The 14,680-nt window shown below is 41.8% G+C and overlaps 1 long non-coding RNA gene and 1 other non-coding gene across 2 annotated transcripts, besides 2 other annotated features; both read left to right on the top strand.

The window, feature by feature from the left end:
- Nucleotides 328–1,178: an enhancer, noted in NCBI's record as "OCT4-NANOG-H3K27ac hESC enhancer chr21:44377122-44377972 (GRCh37/hg19 assembly coordinates)". NCBI's record gives its function as "activates a minimal SCP1, AML or CMV promoter by ChIP-STARR-seq in primed H9 embryonic stem cells {active_cell/tissue: H9 hESC(primed)}" and the evidence as "EXISTENCE:reporter gene assay evidence [ECO:0000049][PMID:30033119]".
- Nucleotides 1,179–2,029: an enhancer, noted in NCBI's record as "OCT4-NANOG-H3K27ac-H3K4me1 hESC enhancer chr21:44376271-44377121 (GRCh37/hg19 assembly coordinates)". NCBI's record gives its function as "activates a minimal SCP1, AML or CMV promoter by ChIP-STARR-seq in primed H9 embryonic stem cells {active_cell/tissue: H9 hESC(primed)}" and the evidence as "EXISTENCE:reporter gene assay evidence [ECO:0000049][PMID:30033119]".
- Nucleotides 2,378–13,401, top strand: LOC124905023 (uncharacterized). The gene is made up of 2 exons (XR_007067882.1): nt 2,378–2,500; nt 2,606–13,401. It is a non-coding gene; the product is annotated as an uncharacterized LOC124905023 (long non-coding RNA).
- On the top strand, nt 7,176–7,262 carry MIR5692B (microRNA 5692b). The gene has a single exon (NR_049889.1). It is a non-coding gene; the product is annotated as a microRNA 5692b (primary transcript).
- Nucleotides 13,402–14,680: the final 1,279 nt, after the last annotated feature.

The raw sequence follows: 14,680 nt of genomic DNA, 5'->3' as shown, positions 1-14,680 counted from the left end.
GCCTGATGAATGCTTAGTTACAAGAACCCAAAAGTATCTGAGGCAGGTCTCAATTAATTTAGAAAATTTATTTTGCCAAGGTTTCCTTTTTTTTTTTTTTTTAAGACAGAGTCTCTCTCTCTCTCGCCCCGGCTGGAGTGCAGTGGTGCCCTCTCAGCTCACTGCAACCTCCTTCTCCCAAGCTCAAGCGATTCTCCTGCCTCAGCCTCCTGAGTAGGTAGGATTACAGGCGTGCACCACCACGCCCGGCTAATTTTTGTATTTTTAGTAGAGACGAGGTTTCACCATGTTGTCCAGGCTGGATATTTTGCCAAGATTTAAGGACGTGCCTGAGACACAGCCTCACGAGGTCCTGAGGATATGTGCCCCACGTGATCAGGGCATAGCTTGGTGTTTACGTTTTAGAGAGACATGATATGAATACTGAGGGTTAGAAACAATAGAAAAGAAACAAAAAAGAAAAAGACGTGAAACGTCAATCAATATGTGTAAGGTGTACATTGGTTCAGTCTAGAAAGGCAGGACAACTCAAAGTGGGGGCTTCCAGGTCATAGGAAACGAGACACAACATTGTATTTTTTTTTTTTAAGATGGAGTCTCTCTCTGTTGCCCGGGCTGGAGTGCAATGGCGCCATCTTTGCTCACTGCAACCTCGGCCTCCCGGGTCCAAGGGATTCTCCTGCCTCAGCCTCCCCAGTAGCTGGGATTACAGGCATGCGCCACCACACCCGGCTAATTTTGTATTTTTAGTAGAGACAGGGTTTCCTCATGTTGGCCAGGCTGGTCTTGAATTTCTGGCCTGAAGGGAGCCACCCACCTGGGCTTCCCAAATTGCTGGGATTGCAGACAGGAGACACTGTGCCTGGTCAAAAGGTTGCATTCTTTTGAGTCCTTGAACAGCCTTTCACTGAATACACAATTTACATGTGAGAGGCGGGTAGAGGAATAGTCACTTACGCCTTAGTCTGGCTCAGTGAATCTACATTTTTGCATAAACAATAGGGCATTTGTCTTGGAGAAATAAGCCAAAAGTAATAAATAAATAAATAAACAATAGGGCAGAGGAAGCAATCAGATATACGTTTGTCGCAGCTCAGCAGAGGGCTGACTGAATTCTGTCCTTTGTCCCACACCTGTGAAGATGAGCTACCAATTTACCTTGCCAGGTGAAATTCAAAAGAACTGTTTTAAGGTAAAGATCTTGAGGCCCTCAAGGAATTTCCTTGTGGGGGAAATGGTGAGGAAGGTAGGTAGCTTCCTGTTATCTTCGTAGCAATCTTGCTTAGGAATAAAGTTTGAGGCAGGTTTGCCTGAGGCAGCGTGGGGTCCTGCGACTGACTTTCCTTTCACAGTTAGAACTGTATTTCTGTCCAGAACCAGGTATGAATTCTTGTTAACCCTGGGGGACAGTTTCACTAGTTACATATTAAAAAAAAAAAAAAAAAAAAAGTTTTTCAATGAGGAAAGATAATTCTAAAAGCAATATAAGATTTAGAAAAAAAGTTTTTGAAGTCCTCCGAAAATCATTTTTTCTATTTATACAAAGATTCCTTTTTTAAATTTTCGACTCTTTTTTTGTTTTTGAAGCTTGTCACGCTTAAGGATTTTTAAAATTTTCTTTTTCTTTTTCTTTTCTGAGACGGAGTCTGGCTCTGTCACCCAGGCTGCAGTGCAGTGGCACAATCTCATCTCACTGCAACCTCTGCCTCCCAGGTTCAAGCCATTCTCCTGGCTCAGCCTCCCGAGTAGATGGGGTTACAGGCACCCGCCACCAGGCCCGGATAATTACTTGTTTTTTTTTTTTTTTTTTTCAGGCGGAGTCTCACTCCGCTGCCCAGGCTGGAGTGTGCAGTGGGGCGATCCCAGCTCACTGCAACCTCTGCCTCCCGGGTTCAAGCAATTCTCCTGCCTCAGGCTCCCAAGTAGCTGGGATTATAGGCCCTTGCCACCACACCTGGCTAATTTTTGTATTTTTAGTAGAGACGGGGTTTCACCATGTTGGTCAGGCTGGTCTCGATCTCCTAACCTCGTGATCTGCCCGCCTTGGCCTCCCAAAGTGCTGGGACTACAGGCGTGAGCCGCTGTGCCAGGCCATAAATTTTATTTTTCATTTCCTTGTTTTGCTTTGTTTTTGAAATGATTCTCCTTTAAGCCATATTTACATTATCTTGTTATCCCAAGACCAAAGGATTTTTTAAACAAAGATAAGCTTCAACTCCTATCTTGTTTTACTCATCAGTGATCCTGAATTACCAAAGACTTCTGTATACTCATGTTTCGAATGCCATGTAGGTCAGGAGTCAACTGGAAAAGTTGTTAGGCCGGTATTTCTACGTCTCGCATTTGTCAGCACTTGCCAAAACGGTGACGCAGCGGTGTGTTATCTGCCGACAGCGTAATGCGAGGCAAGTGCCAGCCGTTCCGCCCGGCATACAAGCTTATGGAGCAGCCCCCTTTGAAGATCTCCAGGTAGACTTCACAGAGATGCCAAAGTGTGGAGGTAACAAGTATTTACTAGTTCTTGGGCGTACCTACTCTGGGTGGGTGGAGGCTTATCCAACACGAACTGAGAAAGCTCCTGAAGTAACCCGTCTGCTTCTTCGAGATCTGATTCCTAGATTGGGACTGCCCTTACGGATCAGCTCAGATAACGGGCCTGCGTTTGTGGCTGACAGTACAGAAGATGGCAAAGGTATCGGGGATCACATGGAAACCGCATGCCGCCTCCTGGTCTCAGAGTTCCGGAAAGGTGGGGCGGATAAATCGGACTATCCAAAATGGTATTACTGTCTTCCCCGCTGGATATTAAAAACAATTCCACAAGGGGCGTCAAACCACCTGCCAAATTTGAGGGAATGTTATCCTCTCCCCCGCCCCCCGTCCCCAGATATTAGAGACAATAACACAGGGGTAATGTATACCCACTGCTTTATTGGGAGTAATATCATCCTCTCCCTTCTTGGATATTAGGAACAATATCACAGTGTGCGTGTACGCCTGTCGCGAAATTCAATGTAATGTCATCCTGTGCCTCTGTGGATATGACGAACAATATCACGGGGGATGTACCACTTCTGAGATATTGGGAGTGATATCATCCTCTCCCCTCTGGAAGTTAGGGACAATATCACAGGGGTAGTGTACACTCTCTGTGATGTTGGGACTAATATCATCCTCCCGCCCCCTGGATATTGAAAACCATATCACAAGGGGCGTGTACACACACTTCGATATTGGTATTAATACCATCCTCTCCCTCTTTGGATTTTCAGTGCAATATTTCAGGTGGGGTATACACCACCTGCAATATTGGAAGTAATATTATTTTCTCCCACTGTGGATATCAGCAACAATATCACAGGGGGTGTGAAAAACCCCTGCGACATTCAGAGTAACATCATCGTTCCCCTCATGAATATTAAGAACAATATCGTGGTGGGGGGTGTACACCCCCTTTGATATTTGACATCATCCTCTTCCCCCCTGGATATGAGGAACAATATCAGGAAGGGATGTACAGACCCTGAGACATTTGCTGTCATATAATTGTCTCTCCCCTAGATATTAGGAAAAATGTAACTGGGGATGTGAACACCCCTGCGATATTGGGAGAAGTATCATCCTCTCCCCCGTTGGATATTAGGAACAATATCACAGGGGAGGTGTACTGCCTCTGGGCTATTGGGAGCAAAATTATCCTCTCTTCCCCTGGATATTAGGAAGGGTCTCAGAGGGGGAGGGTGTACATTCCCTGCGATATTCAATGTAATCTTATCCTCTCCCTCCCAGGGTATTAAGAACAATATTACAGGAGGGGTGTACACCCTCTGCGATACTAAGAGTCATATCATCCTCTTTGGCTCTGGATATTAGGAGCAATATCACAGGGCTGTGTACACCCCCTGCGATATTGGGAGTAATATCATCCTCTCCACCCAGGAAATTACTAACTAGGTCACGGGGGGTGTACTCCCCCTGCGATATTGGGAGTAATGTCGTCCTCCCTAAACCTGGATGTTAGCAACAAGATCACAGAGGGGGTGTACACACCCTGCGATATTGGAAGTAATATGATCCTCTTCCCCCCCACCCCAGATATTGGGAAAAATATCACAGCACGGGTATACATTTCCTACGCTGTTGGGAGTAATATCATTCTTTTCTTCTCTGGATATTAGGAACAATATCGCAGGGGTGGTGTACATTTCCTTTGATATTGGGAGTAATATCATCCTCTCTCCATTGGGATATTAGGAACAATATCCCAGGGGGGTGTCTACCCTCTGCGACATTGGGAGTAATATCATCCTCTGTTTCCCTGGATATTAGACTCAATGTCACAAAAAGGTGTACACCCCCTGTGATATTGGGAATAATATCATACTCTCCTTCCCTGGATATTAGAAAACAATGTCATCAGGGGTGAACACCCGTGCGATAATGGGAGTAATATTTTCTCTTTCACAGGCCATTAGGAACAATATCACAGAGGGTGTTTACACACCCTGCGATATTGGAGGTAATATCATCCTCTGCCCCCCGGAATATTACCAACAATATCAAACAGAGGTTGTGTACACTTCCTGTGATATTGGGAGTAATATCATTCTCTCCACCCCCGGATATTAAGAACAACATCCCGGCGGGGGGTGGTACACCCCCCAGTGATATTGGGAATAATGTCATCCTGTCCTTCCCTGGATATTAGGAACCATATCACAGGGGGGTGTACACCTTCTGTGATATTGGAAGCAATATCATCCTCTCCCCCACTGGATATTAGAAAAAATACCACACATGGTGTACACCCACTGTGATATTAGGAAGAATATTACAGGGTGTACACCCACTCTGACTTTAGGAGAAACAGCTACCTAAAATGTCACAAACAATATCACAGGGTATACAGTAATATCTCCCTAGGATATTACAAATACTATTACAGGGTGTACACCCACTGCGATAACAAGAGAAATACATCCCAAGGACATTACCAATAATATCACAGGCTGTACACCCACTATGACATAAGGAGTGATATTTCCCTAGGATATTACGAATAACATCACAGAATGTACACCCATGGTGTGCACCCATGGTGATATTAGGAGTAATATCTACCCAGGACATAACCAATAACAGCACAGGGTGTACATACATGATGTACACCCATGGTGATGTTATGAGAACTATCTCCCTAGGATATTACAAATAACATCACAGAGGGTACACACATGGTATACTCCCACTGTGGCACTAGGACTAATAACTTTCTAACATATGAATAGCATCACAAAATAGAAACACATGGTGTACACCCACTGTGATATTAAGGGTAATATCCCCCTAGGATATTATGAATAACATCACAGGGTGTTCACCCATGGTGTACACATGCTGTAATACTAGGAATAATATCTCTCTAGGATATTATGAATAATATCACAGGGTGAACACCCACTGTGATATTGGGAACAATATCTCTCTGGGATATTACGGATTATATCACAGAGTGTACACACATGGTGTACACCCACTTTGGTATTAGGAGTAATATCTTCCTAGGACATTACAAATAATATCACAGAGTGTACACCCACTGTAACATTAGGAATCGCATCTCCCTAGGGTATTACAAATAATATCACAGGGTGTACACCCACTGTGATATTAAAAGTCATACCTCAGTCAGATATTGTGAATAATATCACGGATGTACACCACGTGTGCACACCCACTGTGATTTTTAAAGTAATACCTCCTTAGGATATTATGAATAATATCAAGGAGTGTACACACCCCATGACATTAAGATAACATCCCTTTAGGATATTCCAAATAATAACCCAGGCTGTATACCCCATGTGACATTAAGAGTAACATCTTCCTAGGATATTACGAATAAGATCCCAGGGTTGACACCCCCTGTGATTTTAAAAGTTAAATCCCCTTAGAATATTACTAATAATAACACAGGGTGTACACCCCTGTGATGTTAGGAGTAACATCCTCCCAGGATATTATGAATAATATCAGAAGGTGTACACACATGGTGACATTAGTAGTCATATCCCGCTAGTATATTGTGAATAATATCACAGGGTATACACACCTGTGACATTAGGAGTAACATCCCCCTGGAATATTCTGAATAATATCACTGGGCGTACACCTCCTGTGACTTTAGGAGTATCATCCTGCTAAAATATTACGAATAATGTCACAGGGGGTTAGCCTGTGTAATATCACAGGGTGTACACCCCCTGTGACATTAGGAGTAACATCTTTCTAGAACATCACGAGTAATATCACAATGTGTACACCCCCTGTGACATTAAAAGCAAAATCCCCCTAAGATATTCCGAATAATATCACAGGGAGTACACCCCGTGTGACATAGGAGTAATAATCCGTGAGGATATAATGAATAATATCAGAGGGTATATACGTATTGTGACATTAGTAGTAACATCCTGCTAGGATATTACGAATAATATCACAAGGTGTACACCCCGGGTGACATTAATTGATGGAACAGTCCCCTAGAATATGACCAATAACATTACAAGGTGTAGAACACCTGTGATTTATGAGTAAGAGTTCTATAGAATATTACAAGTAATATCATTCAGTGTGCACCCCGTGTGACATTAGGAGTAACAGCCCACGAAACTGTGACAAATAATTTCAAAAGGTGTACACCCTCTGTGACATTAAAAGTAATATCTTACTAGGATATTACGAATAATATCACAGGGTATACAGCCCCTGTGACATGAGGAGTAATGTCTTTTTAGGATATCGCGAATAATATAACAAGATGTACACACCCTGTGACATTAGGTGTAACATCCGTCTAGGAGACTATGAATACTATCGCAGCGAACACACCCCCTGTGACAATAGGAGTAACATCCCCGTAGGATATTATGAATAATATCACAAGGTGTACACACATTGTGACTTCAGTGCTAATATCCCTCTCATATACTGTGACTATCACAGGGTGTGCACCCCTGTGATATGACATTAGGAGTAACATCTCCCTAGAGTATTATGAATACTATCATGAGGGTACACACGCCTTTGGTTTAGGAGTAATATTCCCCTAGGATATTACAAATGATATCACAGTATGTACACTCACTGTGATATTAGGAGTCCCATTTTCCTAGGATATTATGAATAATATCACAGTAGGTGTTCACACATAATGTGTACACCATGTGTGTACACCCATGTGATATTTGAAGTAGTATGTCCCTAGGATCTTATGAATAATCTCAAAAGGTGTACACCCCATGTGACATTAAAAGTAACGTCCCTTTTGGATATTCCGAATGCTATCACAGGGTGTGATATTAGGAGTGTGATATTGGGAGTAACCTCTTCCTAGGATAACCCATGTGATATTAGGAGTAACCTCTTCCTAGGATATTACGAATAACATCACAGGGTGTACACCCCTGTGACTTTAAAAGTAACCCCCCCATAGAAGATTATGAATAATATAACAGGGCGCACTCCCCCTGTGACATTAGGAGTAACATCTCCCTAGGATATTATGAATAATGTCACTGGGGGCACACCCTCTGTGATATTAGCAGCAGCATCTACCTAGGAGATTACGAATGATATCACAGGGTGTCCACTCACTGGGATATTAGAAGGAATATCTCCCTAGGATATAAGCTATCACATCACAGAGTGTACACACATGGTGTACACCCACTGTGTTATTAGAAGCAATATCTCCCTACGATATTATGAAAAATATCACGGGGTGTACCCTCTGTGGGATACTAGAAGTAATGTTTACCATGGATATTACAAATAATATCACAGGGTGTACACACATGGGGTACACCCACTGGGATATTAGGAGTTATATCTCTCTAAGATATTACAAATAATATCTCTCTATAAGATTACAAATAATATCTAAGGGTGTACACCCCCTGTGACATTAGGAGTAACATCCCCCTACAATATTGGGAACAATATCACACGGTGTACACCCCTGTAACATTAGGGGTAACATCCCCCCAGAATATTACTAATAATATCACAAGATGTATTGTGACATTAGTAGTAATATCCTGCTAGCATATTTTCAATAATATCACAGAAGGAACACACCTGTGACAATAAGAATAACATCCCCCTAGAATAGTAAGAATAATAGCACAGGGTGTACACCCCCTGTGACATTAGGAGTATCATCTCACTAGAATATTATGAATAATGTCACAGAGTGTTATCTTCTGTGACATTAGGAGTACAGACCCCTGGGAAATTATGAATACTATCACAGGGTTTACACCCCTGTGACATTAGGAGCAACATCTTTCTAGAATATCATGAATAATGTCACAATGTGTACAACCTGGTGTCATTAAAAGTAAAATTGCCCTAGGATATTATGAAATAGAACACAGGGAGAACACCTCGTGTGACATTAGAAGTAACATCCCCTGAGGATATAACGAATATGAGGCATTTGTCCCGGTGGGACGCCCCCCAGAGCAGTGTGTGGCAGGCCCCCGTGGAGGATCAATGCAGTGGCTGAACACCTGGAAGGAACAGGCACTTGGAGTCTGCACATCTGAAACTTGGTAAGACTGGTCTTTGAAACTTGCTCACTCCGTTTGAGTGGAAGCGTGGCCTGATCACCCACGGCGTGCCTGTACAGGCACTTTGGTTTTGGTTTTGACTTGGTTTGAATTGCTTGACGGGACTGGTCTTGAGAACTTGCCCACTCCATTTGAGTGGAAGCATGGCCTGATCACCCACAGCGTGCCTGTACCGGCACTTTGGTTTTTGTTTTTGATTTGACTTGGATTGCTTGATACTTTGGTTTTGGTTTTGACCTGGCTTAGATTTCTGGTTACTCTGATTTTGGTTTTGATTTTTGTTTGGTGCAAACTGCAAAACTGTGTGTGTGCCCTTTTTACCCATTTTTTTGTTTTGTGGTGTGCGTGTGGAGTGAGCATGGTATTTTGTCTCAAAGAAGCATAGGTCAGGCACAAATAAGCCCACCCTACTAGGAACTATGTTGGAAAATTTCAAAAAAAGAATTTAAGAGAGACTATGGAGTACTGTGACACTAGGAAAACTTAAAACTTTGTGTAAGATAGACCGGCCAGCATTAGAGGTAGATTGGCCATTAGAAGGAAGCCTGGACAGGTCCCTTGTTTCAAAGGTATGGCACAAAGTAACCTGTAAGCCAGGGCACCCAGACCAGTTCCCGTACATAGACACTTGGTTACAGCTGGTTTTAGACCCCACGCCCCCAACACACAGCGGTTGAGAGAACAGCAGCATAAGCAGATGGCAGAGGCAAGGAAAGAGCAGCAGAGAGAGAGAGAGGAAAGAGACAGAGAGGAAGAGAGGAAAAGAGAGAGAGGAAGAGACAGAGAGGAACAGACAAAGAGGGAGTCAAGGAGAGAGAGAGAAAGAGAGAGGCAGAGAGAGGAAGAGACAGAGGCAAAAGGAAAGTCAGAAAGAGAGAGACAAAGTCAAAGAGAGAAAGAAAGAAAGAGATATACAAGTAGTTAAAAAAAAGTGTACCCTATTCTTTAAAAGCCAAGGTAAATTTAAAACCTATAATTGATAATTGAAGGTATTCTCCGTAACCCTATAACAGTCCGATACCACTTTGTTGTCAGTGTAAACAAGGGCATATCCCGAAAGCACTGAGGCCTTCCTATCAAAAATCCTTAACCCCATAACCCGCGGATGGCCCAAATGCATTCAATCTGTAGCGGCAACTGCTTCGCTAACAAAAAAAAAAAAAAAAGGGGAAAAAGAATAACTTTTAGAGGAAACCTCATTGTGAGCACATCTCACCAGTTCAGAAGTATCCTAAGGGAAAAAAAAAAAAAAAGGAAAAAAAAGGGGGCGGGTGGAATTTATATAAAAAGAGTATTATATGGTAAATTCTTGTCCTGAAATAAATTAACTGGTTGTTTAAAGAAAGAAATATTTGTAATAAGTCAGAAAGTTGAGGCATGTGGAAGAATTGTCTGCAAAAGTCAAGAAAGAGAAAAATGTTATAAAAAAGAATTTATGCAAAAAATGTTGTATAATTTAAAAGTAACTAGGCCTCCTGAATGTAAAACTATTGAAAAAAAAAAAAAACAACAGTTTATGTGCAAGGTGTATAAGAAAAGTAAAATATATCTTTGGTAAAAGGATTATAAGGAGGCATAAGAATGTACATTTTTACCTACATTAAAAAGTTAAAAATTTATTGTTTTGAAGGTTTAAGCAAATTTTAAAACATTAATTGTAAAGGAAATTCTGTGTATAAACATATTTGCTAAAGTTAAAGAAGTATCATCCAGTTTTTCTGTGAACTAGACATTAAAGTAAAAGCATAACAGGTTTTTCTTAAAGCACCAACCTGCTCTTTAGCAAAAATTATGAAAGGTTAAAAAGAGTCTATAAAATCGTAACTTACGGTCAAACATTAAAAATTAGATAAATATGTCTACAGGCTTTTATTAAAATTAGGTTTAACATTAATAACACACTAATATAAACATAACATTTAGCTTATCTGGTATAAAAATCATACAAGAAGCATTGTTAAATGTAAAATGGTATTTGGCTTTCTTTGGTTTAAAAACTAATAAAAATAGGTGCTAAAGGAAATTTCTCAGTAAAAAGACACTAAGGACTATAAAGTCCACTGCCAAGGTCCCCACATTTAAAACAAAAGGTCAGTTTCTTAAAAATTATATACTTGGTTTATCTTCCACTTTCCTTTCTCTCAAAAACTAAAAGTCTTTTAGCACATGTACCACCGCTAGAATTTCCAGTAAATCAGCACCAGCCTGAAGATCACGTTCTCATCAAAGGGTGGAAAGAAGAAAAACTTGAGCCCGCCTGGGAAGGACCCTACCTTGTCCTGCTAACCACCAAGACTGCTGTTTTTACAGAAAAAAAAAAAGATGGACTCATCACACCCAAGTCAAGAAAGCGCCACCCCCTCCAGAGGTGGGGGCCATAGTCCCAGGGGAAAACCCTACCAAACTAAAGCTAAGAAAAATGTAACTCTTTTCATCTACTCTATTACTCTTTCTTCTTTCCTCATTCTATTGTTGACCATATAGTTATTAACATAATCAAATCAATTTCACCTCAAACTATTGCATTTAATTCTTGCCTTGTTATACCCTGTGGGGACTTGCCAATTCCAAGACAGCTTTCTACTTCAGAAAAGTATCTCTGCCCCTCCTGACTCTCCTCAGACTGGGCATTAGTAAACGAGGACCATTTAATCCGGGGAGATTTCAATAAACACCCCAGTGCCAACTAGGAGTCTTGCCCCCTGACGTAGAGCTTTCATGCCATAGTTGGTCCAACGTCCTGTGGACCACTAAAGAGCAAGGACGGACTGACCCAACCGGTTTTTATAATTTCCTAAAACCATACATTCATTTTACTAGAGGATCATAGAAGTTAAAGACTTAAAACAAACTTTATCAATTAAGACAGGATACCAAGATGCAAATGCCTAGTTAAAATGGATCAAATATTCCATTTGACATTAAATAAAACCAATTGTTATGCTTGTGCACATGGCAGGCCAGAGGCCCAGATTGTCCCCTTTCCACTAAGGTGGTCCTCCAGTTGACCAGGTGTGGGCTGCATGGTAGCTCTTTTCCAGGATTCTACGGCCTGGAGTAATAAGTCGTGCCAAGCTCTCTCTGCTATATCCCAAAGTCCAGCACCCTGTGGGTCAGCCCCTGAGGGCCATCCAACCTCCGTCTCCCAACACTAAGTTCACTTCGTGTCTCTCATGACAGGGAGGAAACTTCGTGTTCCTTGGAGACCTGAAAGGATGCAGTGAAGCATAAGAATTTTCAAGAGCTTATCAATGAGGCAGCCCTTGTTCATCCCTGAGCGGATGTGTGGTGGTATTGTGGTGGACCTTTACTGGGCACTCTGCCGAATAACTGGAGTGGCACTTGTACTTTAGTCCGGTTGGCTATCCCTTTCACCCTGGCATTTCATCAATAAGACATCATAAAGCGAGAGAAGCTCCTTAGGGGTCTTTCAACTCTCATGTCTATTTAGACGCAATTGGAGTCCCACGAGGAATACCAGATCAATTTAAAGCTTGAAATCAAATAGCTGCAGGATTTGAGTCAATATTTTGGTAGGTGACAGTTAATAAAAATGTAGATTGGATAAACTACATCTATTACAACCAACAGCAACGAGCTTTTCATGAGTTAAAAGAAAACTCACGTCAGCTCCAGCCCTGAGGCTACCTGACCTGACAAAACTCAACATTCTATGTGTCAGAAAGAGAAAAAATGGCAGTTGGAGTTTTAACCCAGACTGTGGGGCCCTGGTCAAGGCTAGTGGTCTATTTCTCAAAACAACTAGACAGGGTTTCCAAAGGCTGGCCCCACGTCTAAGGGCCCTGGCAGCAACAGCCCTGTTAGCACAAGAAGCAGATAAACTAACCCTTAAGCAAAATCTGAATATAAAGACCCCCCATGCTGTGGTAACCTTAATAAATACCAAAGGATATCATTGGTTAACAAATGATAGATTAACCAAGTACCAAATCATGCTATTTGAAAATCCCCACATAACCATTGAAGTTTGCAACACCCTAAACCCCACCACATTTCTCCCGGTATCAGAGAGCCCAGTTGAACATAACTGTGTAAAGGTGTTGGACTCAGTTTATTCTAGCAGGCCTAACCTCTGAGACCATCCTTGAACATCAGTAGACTGTGAGCAGTACGTGGAGGGGAGCAGCTTTGCCAACCCCTGCAAAGTGACTCTGAAGAAGACGACAAGCCCTACTCCAGTCACACCTGGAAGCTGACTGGTCCACACACAGCCGAAGCATGAGAAAACCCATTGCGGGACTCATTTTTCTTAAAATTTGGACTTTTACAGTAAGGACTTCAAATGACCTTCCTCAGACTAAGGACAGTTCCCATTGTATACATCAAGTCACTGAGGTAGGACAAAAGGTTGCTATGGTCCTATTATTTTATGGTTATTATAAGTGTACTGGAACTCTAAAAAGAACTTGTTCGTGTAATGTTATTCTATACAAAGTATGTAGCCCAGGAAGTGACCAACCTGATGTGTGTTATGACCCATCTGAGCCTCCCATGACCATAGTTTTTAAAATAAGATTAAGGACTGAGGACTGGTGTGGACTCATAAATGATACGAGTGAAGTGTTAGCCAAAACAGAAGAAAAAGGGGTGCCCAAACAATTCATCTTAAAATTTGATGCCTGTGCTGTCATTAATAGTAGTAAGTTAGGAATAAGTTGTGGTTCTCTTCATTAGAAAAGGCTATATGGCAGAAAATAAATACATCTGTCATAAATTAGCACTGTGTGGAAATAAATGTAAACACTGGTCTTGTGTCATTTTGGCCACTTGGACAAAAAGAAAATGAAAAAGATCCAGTCCACCTTCAGAAAGGAAAAAATGGCCCTTCCTGTACTAAGGGACAATGTAACCCCTTAGAGCTAGTAATAACCAAGCCCCTTGACCCTCGCTAGAAAAACAGAGGAGCGCGTGACCTTAGGAATTGATTGGGCCAGACTGGATCCTCAACTAAATATCTTGGTTCAAGGAGAAGTTTACAAACGCTTTCCTGAGCCAGTGTTTCAAACTTCCTATGATGAACTAAATGTGCCAGTACCAGAAATTTCAGGAAAAACAAGAAATTTGTTTTTGAAATTAGTTGAGCATATAGCCCAGTCTCTCAATGTCACTTCATGCTATGTATGTGGAGAAGCTGTAATAAGAGATCAATGGCCATGGGAAGCCCGAGAATTAGTACCTACAGACCCAGTTCCTGATGAATTCCTGGCTCAAAAGAATCACCCTGATAATTTCTGGTCCTAAAAGCCTCAATTATTAGACAATATTGCATAGCTAGAGAAGGAAGAGAATTCACTCACCCCAGAGGACGACTTAGTTGTCGGAGACAGAAACTGTATAATGATACCACAAAAACAGTCACTTGGTGGACTCCAGTGAACTCCAGTTCAAATCACACAGAGAGAAATCCATTTAGTAAATTCCCAAAGTTGCAAACTGTGTGGACCCACCCGGAGTCCCACCAGGACTGGACAGCCCCCACTGGATTATACTGGATATGTAGGCACAGAGCTTACGCCAAATTACCTGACCAGTAGGCAGGTAGTTGTGTTATTGGTACTATTAAACCATCTTTCTTCCTACTGCCCAAAAAAACAGGCGAACTCCTGGGCTTCCCTGTCTATTCTTCCCACGAAAAGAGAATCGTAGCCATAAGAAATTGAAAAAATGATAAATGGCCCCCTGAGAGAATCATACAACATTATAGTCCTGCTACTTAGGCACAAGACGGCTCGTGGGGATACCGGACCCCCATTTACATGATCAACCGAATCATACAGTTACAAGCTGTCTTAAAAATAAACATTAATAAAACCAGCAGAGCCTTGACTATTGTGGCCTGGCAAGAAGCTCAGATGAGAAATGCTATATGTCAAAATAGATTAGCTCTCAACTACTTGCTAGCAGCTGAAGGAAAGGTCTGTAGGAAATTTAACCTTACTAATTGCTGCGTACACATAGATAATGAAGGGCAAGCAGTTGAAGACATAGTTAGAGATACGACAAAACTGGCACATGTGCCCATGCAA

Source organism: Homo sapiens, chromosome 21 (genome assembly GCF_000001405.40).
Source record: "Homo sapiens chromosome 21, GRCh38.p14 Primary Assembly".
Taxonomy (NCBI): Eukaryota; Metazoa; Chordata; class Mammalia; order Primates; family Hominidae; genus Homo; species Homo sapiens.
This window is presented reverse-complemented; position numbering and strand designations above follow the sequence as displayed.